The 8,476-nt window shown below is 40.1% G+C and overlaps 1 pseudogene, besides 1 other annotated feature; it reads right to left on the reverse strand.

Moving 5' to 3' along the window:
• RPPH1-2P (ribonuclease P RNA component H1, 2 pseudogene) lies at positions 3,638-3,930 on the reverse strand (annotated as a pseudogene).
• Positions 8,405-8,454: an enhancer, noted in NCBI's record as "active region_8537". NCBI's record gives its function as "activates an Ori minimal core promoter by ATAC-STARR-seq in GM12878 lymphoblastoid cells {active_cell/tissue: GM12878}" and the evidence as "EXISTENCE:reporter gene assay evidence [ECO:0000049][PMID:35858748]".

The raw sequence follows: 8,476 nt of genomic DNA on the forward strand, positions 1-8,476 counted from the left end.
TCCTGGGAAACAAGCATGATTCTCAAGTTTGCAGTCAAGAGCTGACTGCGCATACTATAATAGGGGAATTAATAAACTGTTATTGTAGGTACTTGGAAAGGGATACTAATAGGCAATCTTTATGGAGGAGGTGATGTTTGAGCCATGTCTGAGAACCTGAATATGAATTCAATAAGGAGACAAAGGGCTATTCTGGGCAGAAGGAGCAGCACACAAAAAGCTAGAAAGAGGACTTTGGTGTGGTGAGGGCCATGAGGAATTGGTGAGGTTAGAAACAGGAAATGTGGGATGACAGCAGGAAGGGAGGTAGGGAGCAGCAGGACACGGGGCTACAGAAGTAGACTGGGCCAACTTTTAAAAAGTCGTGGGTGCTGTAGGAAGGAATTTGGTCTTTATCCTGAGGGCAATAGGGAATCATGGAGCTTTTAAAGCAGTGACATACTGAGATTTATGATAATTGTTACGTTCTTGGCGCTGTCTACTGTAGTTGCTTAATAATATACCTCAGTTCTCTCAAACCTTGCTATGCACTTTCTTATTAGTTCTTTTTTTTTTGAGACGGAGCCTCGCTGTCTCGCCCAGGCTGGAGCAATGGCACAATGTCGGCTCACTGCAACTTCCACCTACCAGGTTCAAGTGATTCTCCTGCCTCAGCCTCCTGAGTAGCTGGGATTACAGGCACACGCCACCATGCCCTGCTAATTTTTTGTATTTTTAGTAGAGATAGGGTTTCACCATATTGGCCAGGCTGGTCTCGATCTCCTGACCTCAAGTGATCTGTTAGCCTTGGCCTCTCAAAGCGCTGGGATTACAGGCATGAGCCACCACTCCCAGCCCTCTCATTAGTTCTCAAAGAGGATATTGTAAAGAGAAAAAAGTACAAAGAACTAGAAGGGTTGGGAATCTGTGATTAGGTAGAAACCAAAGTAGCACTTACAAGGAAGGCTCCCTTTCTCTTTGTGCCTTGAGGTAACTTTCCAAATCCACTTCCTGGAGGAGCCTGGCCTTTCTCCTTCTCCATCTCCCGTGGTTTCCCTCCCTAACACGACCCTTTTACCACGGCATCCTCTCCAACACAACATGCTCACTCAGTTTTTCCAGTTACACACAAATCACCTTGTACAAATTTGTTAAAGTACACAGTCTCATATTATCCACTTCAGCAGACACACATTCACACATCGGGCAGTTTGAGTTATTGCCAGTCCTCTTCCTTAATTTATTATCCTCCCTTCTACCACCTCAGGCTTAAGGCCAGAGTTACTTTTCTTAAAACCCTTAAGTCATATGTAGAAACACATATACCGAAAACATTTGTGTATCATTTTATAAAGCAAGCCAATGAGGTAGGTATATTTATTATTGTCATTATTTTACAGATGAGAAAATTGAAGACCAGCCAATAAGCAACTTGTTTAGGGTCCTTGAATTATTAAGTTACAATGAGGACTAAAATCTAATGTTTTAACTGTAAATCACCATGTTATTTTCCAAATATTCCTTGCAGCTTCTATATACCCCTTCTCTATTCCAAGTCAAAACTACTCTTTTCAACACTACCCAAGTTTTTTGATTTCTATGGATTTTGTGCCTGGGTTACCTTGAAGTAAACCCTCCATCTGCTAGCCATTCTCCAGGACAAAACAGAAGTCTCTTGACTTCCCTTTCCTCACTTCCCCGGTTTCTCTAAAAATTCCAAACTCCTTTACCTCTCAGAGTCCATATAGGTGAAAGAGAATAAAAGTCTGCTCTAAGTCTTACTATGTCCTTGAGGCACACATTGCGGGGGAAAAAACCCACAATAAAATATCTGAAACCCAATTGCATTTTGATTATTAAATTCCTTCTGGCTAGTTGTGGTGACTCATGCCTGTAATCCCAACACTGTGGGAGGCTGAGGCAGGAGGGTTGCTTGAGCCCAGGAGTTCGAGACCAGCCTGGACAACACAGTGAGACTCATCTCTATATACATACATACATACATAAAATATTAAAAAATCCACCCCAATCCATGCAAGATTTGAGAGAGAATATTTCCCCAGAAGCTACCATTTAAGAGATTTCGACATACCTGGTGAAAACTTTATATGGAAATGATAATCTGTATTTGAAAAAAAGTGAGGAGAGCAAAAAAAACAGAATCAGAGGGAAATAATGGCTATTCCCTTGCTTTTAAGTGTTATATGTTTGAAAAAATGGATATGTTATTTGTAAATTTATGTTTAGTAACTAGCGGTAAACTTGAAATACTAGAATACATTATAAGTCTTAATCCTAGGTAGTCTTAAGAAAATGAATCTCTTTTAACTATCATCTTTTGAACCTATATTCACATTGGTTTTTAAGATTTTTATTTATTTATTTATTTATTTATTTTGAGACCGAAGTCTCGCACTGTCGCCCAGGCTGGAGTGCAGTGGCGTGATCTCCGCTCACTCCAGGGTCGGCCTCCCGGGTTCACGCCATTCTCCTGCCTCAGCCTCTTGAGTAGCTGGGACTACAGGCGCTCGCCACCACGCCCGGCTAAGTTTTTTTTTTTTTTTTTTTTTTAGTAGAGATGGGGTTTCACCGTGTTAGCCAGGATGGTCTCAATCTCATGACCTCGTGATCCACCCACCTTGGCGCTTCCCAAAGTGCTGGGATTACAGGCGTGAGCCACTGCACCCTGCTGGTTTTTAAGATATTTTAAGTTACATTTTTTCCTCTTTGTTTTTCAGAGCTACTTCTTATTTGGGGGCTACTTTTTAATACTGAGGTGTAATTCACAAGGGGCTGCATTTTTTGATAAGGCTTCTTATAAATATTGCTGAATGTTTTGCTCTAATCTTCTAAGCAGGGCCATTTTATTTTTTGGAGTCACTTCTAAAGTCATGTGTTCATTAACTTTGGAGACTGCTTTGGATATGAGTGCTGATACAAATTAAAACCCAAGTAGACCTCATTGTTTGTCACTCTACGAATGTTGACAACGGAAGGAACACCTTGCCCATAGTATACTGACTTCTGGACTGAAAAGCAAACGAAACAATTCCATTTTCTTTTTTGCATACATCAGAAAAACAACTACTGTGTCCAGTTCCCTGATTGACCTCAGCAGATGAAGTGAACAGATAGTGTTAATTCAGATTGGAGAAATTATATGAATCTTGGTGTGTGTAGATTTATAATCTACAGGCAATATTACCTAAATCAGATATTTACAGTTTCACATGTGTATATAGGCTCCTTCACACCCATTTCCATATCCATTGGTAACTGAACTTTCTAAATTGGCATTGAAGCATTACAATTTTTTTTTGCACCAATTTTATAAACTTAAGCAGTGCAATGCCTGTTTTTTTTCTAAGACAAACCAAAGGTAATTTTCTCAAGTTTCTGCTGCCTTCTTTAGCAGAATTTGATGGAGGGTCTTTTATACATTTGTAATAGATAAAAAATAAACCAGACTGCAAATCATTTTTAAAATCCTAAACCACGTACCAAGTTTCTTATTCAAATTGTACAGGGTAAGTTTAAACTTAAATTGCATTCTATTAGCCAATATGACTGTACTTCTGTAAGCATAGTTATGTTGAAATAAAGTTTTAAAAAGCAAAAAATAAATAAATGTGCTTGAAAGGCTTGAGTTTATCATCTGAATAGGGGAAGTAGCCTGAAGTTGGGCAGGAGAACCCTAAAGGGAAGAAAGTCTAACTCTCCCATTGAGCTAAGAAAAAAACCTGCTGACCCTGAACTTCTAGGAGTGCTTTTGTACCTGTCCTCAGCCAGGCTCACCTGTATTCACTGGGTTAACCCAGAAATGCTGCTAATTCATTCATATCAGGCAGGTGACATCAGGTGATGACAACCACAGACTCTTATTTCACACTTTCCCTGAAACAATGGAAAGAATGACCTATACCTTCACCAAGCAGATGAGCTTCCTCTACTCCATCTGTGAAATGGGTCTGAGGATACTACCATAAAGGCTGGGGCACTTATTTGCTCCTTTCAACAAAAGATGAAAATAATAGATATGATCAGCATTGTGTCATCACTTCAGACTCTTGGCTTAAGACAGCATAAGACAAAAGAAAAAATAGAAAGAAGGTGTTAAAAGGAGAGTCAAACTGCACTCTTTAGGGAAAATTTTCATCTTACCACAGGGATGTAGTTTAGCACATGTAACTGAGCCAGCAATTAGGGCCATTTTAACATTTAGATTTTCTTTAATCAATTCCTTTTACAAGAGGTGATCTCATACGTAAACTGCAACATGGTTTGTTTGATATATCTCATGGACATCACATATTTATTAGAGACCCATAGGGGCAGGGTATTTCCCCAGAGAAAATTCTATTAGAAGATAAAATTGATTTTGCAAATTTTATTTTATATAGTTACCTATAAGAGAAAATATTTTTCTGTTTATTGTTTTTCTTATGTTACATCACTACTTGTTCATTTCATTCAGGTGCTAATCTTCTGCTTTGTAGCCTCTATTTTCCTTTCTCCCATCTGTCAACCTCAGATACTTTTATATTCCCATTACCACAGTCACACTTTAATTTCTGGTCCTGGCTACCTCTTCCCCCAAGTCTCATTTCCTGCCTCTCTTCTCTGAATGTGGCTAGATTTAAATGGAGGACTTCATTGGATAGATAGCCCTGAGCTCTTGAGCTTTTGTGACCATAAATATGACAACTTTTTTTTTTTTTTTTTGAGATGGAGTCTAGCTCTGTCGCCCAGGCTGGAGTGCAATGGCACGATCTCGGCTCACTGCAACCTCTGACTCCCAGGTTCAAGCGTTGCTCCTGCCTCAGCCTCCTGAGTAGCTGGGATTACAGGCATGCGCCACCATGCCCAGCTAATTTTTGTATTTTTAGTGGAGACAGGGTTTCACCATGTTAGCCAGGAGGGTCTCGATCTCCTGACATCATGATCCACCCGCCTCAGCCTCCCAAAGTGCTGGGATTACAAGCATGAGCCACCATACCCGGCCGACCTTTTTTTTTTTTTATCTTGCTCATTTTAATAACAAGTTATGATATAACTCTGGGAAGGTAAAAAAATTTCATAAATATGTAGATTGTCTTTCATGCCTTAGAATATGAAATCAATTCATGCTAATGGGTGTACTCTTTAAGATCTATGACTTTAGTGTAATTTTTAATTAATTTATTTTTGTTGTGTATATTCTCAGTGATGAGGCAGAAAGCTATACATCTCCCCCTTGTGGTTCCTGCTAACGTCTGCCTTTGGCATGTCCATTTTTTTCCCAGTTCCAGTAAGTCCCAATAAAATGCAGCTAAAATAATCTTTTTTATTTATTTATTTTTTAGGGACAGAGTCTCACTCTGTTGCCCAGGCGGGGGTGCAAGCAGCATGATCATAGCTCATTACAGCCTCAAACTCCTAGGCTCAAGAGATCTTCCCATCTCAGCCTCCTGAGTAGCTAGGACTGCAGGTGCACACCACCACACTAGGCTAATTTAAAAATTTTTTGAGGTCATCACTATGTTGCCCAAGCTGGTCTTGAACTCCTGGCTTCAAGCTACCCTCCTGCCTTGGCGTCCCAAAAGTGCTGGGATTACAGGTGTGAGCCACCACACCCAGCCTAAAATAATTTTAAACCACAACTCTGGCAACACTCTCCTGCTCAAACCTTCAGTTGCTCCCTACCACATGCAGAATAAAATCCAAACTCCTTGGCATGGTTCACCTGAAATTTCTATACAAAACAAAACAAAACTCTGCTTTTTGAAATTCTAAACATGCTTTAAGGCCCAAATTCCTCTTTCCTAATCCTCCCCCTGGGTGTAGTCTCATCATTTTGTGTTCTTATACCCCAATCTGCCAGTAATTATTAGTATTTGTGCTCATTTTATCTCTCAGACTAAATTGTAGCTGGGGAGTAGCAAAGGATTAAAAGTCAGTATTAGGCTTTAAAAACAGAGAAACCATTTAAAAATGGATGAAGAGAAAGAATTGGGCCAGGTGCAGTGGCTCACACCTGTAATCCCAGCACTTTGGAAGGCCGAGGCAGGTGGATCACTTGAGACCAGGAGTTCGAGACCACCCTGGCCAACATGGTGAAACCTCATCTCTACTAAAACTACAAAAAATTAGCCGGTTGTGGTGGTGTGCCCCGGTAGTCCCAGCTACTTGGGAGGCTGAGGCATGAGAATCGCTTGAACCTGGGAGGCAGAGGTTGCAGTGAGCCGAGACTATGCCAGTGCACTCCAGCCGAGGTGACACAGTGAGACTGCCTTAAAAGAGAGAGAGAGAAGAAAAAAAGACTAGCCCTGTCCAATAGGAATATGAGAGCTACATGTGTAATTTTTAATTTTCTAGTAGTCACATTAAAAAAGCAGGTGAAATTAATTTAATAATACATTTTTATTTAACCCAGTACGTCAAAAATTATTTCAACGTAATCATATAAATTTATTAATGAGATTCTTATATATTTTAATACTAAATCTTCCAAATCTGGTGTGCAGAATGTACTCACAGCACAATCTCAGTTCAACTTGCCATATTTAAAGTGCTTTATAGCCATAAGTGGCTAGTGCTACTGTATTAGAAAGAAATTGAGATAAGGATAGCAACAGAGTCCTAGCCCTGGCTGACTACTGAGTAGCTTTGTTACCATAGACAAGACCTTTAACCACTCACTTCTGTGGTTTCCTTATCTGAAAAGAGGAGACATATTTTTCTTACCAACCACATAGGATTGTAATAGCATAAAATTAGAAACTGAAATGAGGACACTTTTGAAAGGTTGAAAATGTCATACAAATGGGAGGTATTATAATTATTCTAAGAATAAGGTAAACTCTGATGGCTCTAGTTCTTGCAGTGTTTCTTAGCACACCTATGATTTTTAATAACAGTTGCAGATACTTACTAGAAGTTGAAATACTAAAGGTTACAACTTCAGTGCTTCCGTGGAAAAATAATTCCCATATTAGCAAACCCATTTAAACTGGTGTGCTTTGAAATGGTTATTAATCTCTTCTTTAAGGAATCTGGATCCCAGAGTCTCCCAGGCTCCCCAATCTTTCTTCCCTGACATGACAGCAATAAAGCAGGGCTGAGGGAGGATGTTGATGTTCCCATTGGGGTAGAGGAGTGTGATAAAGACGCATTGTTCAGAAACAGAGACAAACTTCGGAGATTCGTCTGCAAGTTAATTAGGTCGTTGCGAATAAATAAGATGCTTTCAATACAGAGAGAAAGGATGAGGCGGGGCAACAAGCACAAGCATTTTGAGACCCACAGGATTGGGAAATGATGCAGGAACAACTGACCTGGCCATTTTTCTTTCTTTCTTTCTTTTCTTGGAAGCACATATGTTTATTGGTTTTTTAATCTGTGAACCAATAGGTCATTTATAAATGGATGTGCAAATCTGAAATCAAAATATCTGCAGTCAATTCAATTAGATAATTTTTGAAATCTATTTATTTTTAATATACTTTAAGTTCTAGGGTACATGTGCACAACGTGCAGATTTGTTACCTATGTATAGATATGCCATGTTGGTGTGCTGCACACATTAACTCGTCATTTACATTAAGTATATCTCCTAATGCTATCCCTCCCCCCTCCCCCCACCCCACGACAGGCCCCGGTGTGTGGTGTTCCCCACCCTGTGTCCAAGTGTTCTCATTGTTCAATTCCCACCTATGAGTGAGAACATGCGGTGTTTGGTTTTCTGTCCTTGCGATAGTTTGCTCAGAATGACGGTTTCCAGCTTCATCCGTGTCCCTACAAAGGACATGAACTCATCCTTTTTTATGGCTGCATAGTATTCCATGGTATATATGTGCCACATTTTCTTAATCCAGTCTATCATTGATGGACATTTGCATTGGTTCCAAGTCTTTGGTATTCTGAATAGTGCCACAATAAACATACATGTGCATGTGTCTTTATAGCAGCATGATTTATAATCCTTTGGGTATATACCCAGTAATGGGATGGCTGATGACCTGGCCATTTTTCTATTTACATAGTGCTTGCCCGCCACTGAGGTGCTTCTGTGACACCTGAGAGAGATAGAAATACGTTCCTCGTTGCTATGTCCTCCAGAGGACTCTGGAATGACCAATTATTACTAATATTTTAAGTGTTTTTTTAGGAGATTTTCTGCAGCACTCTGAGTGTCTCTTCCCAAACACTTCGGTTACTGTTTATTCACCTGCTGAGATCTGGTCTCTTATTCACTCTCATTGCCTTAAGAAATGGTACAGAAATGTATTCATTAACATTTCAGATTTGTATATGCGGTAGCGAGAAATAATTCCCTTTCTTGTGTGTCGTGATTTGCCTTTCTTGTCAGCCTAAGCTCAGGAAGGTGTCTGTGAGAACTTCGCTCAGCCCAAGATCCCTTTCCCTTCCCGTCACATCTGTTAGCGCACAAGATTTCTTCGTCTGTCTCCAAAGGTTTCTGAAGCCCCACCCTTTGCCCACGCACGGTGCCAAGGAGACT

The sequence above is a fragment of the Homo sapiens genome, chromosome 14 (assembly GCF_000001405.40).
Source record: "Homo sapiens chromosome 14, GRCh38.p14 Primary Assembly".
Taxonomy (NCBI): domain Eukaryota; kingdom Metazoa; phylum Chordata; class Mammalia; order Primates; family Hominidae; genus Homo; species Homo sapiens.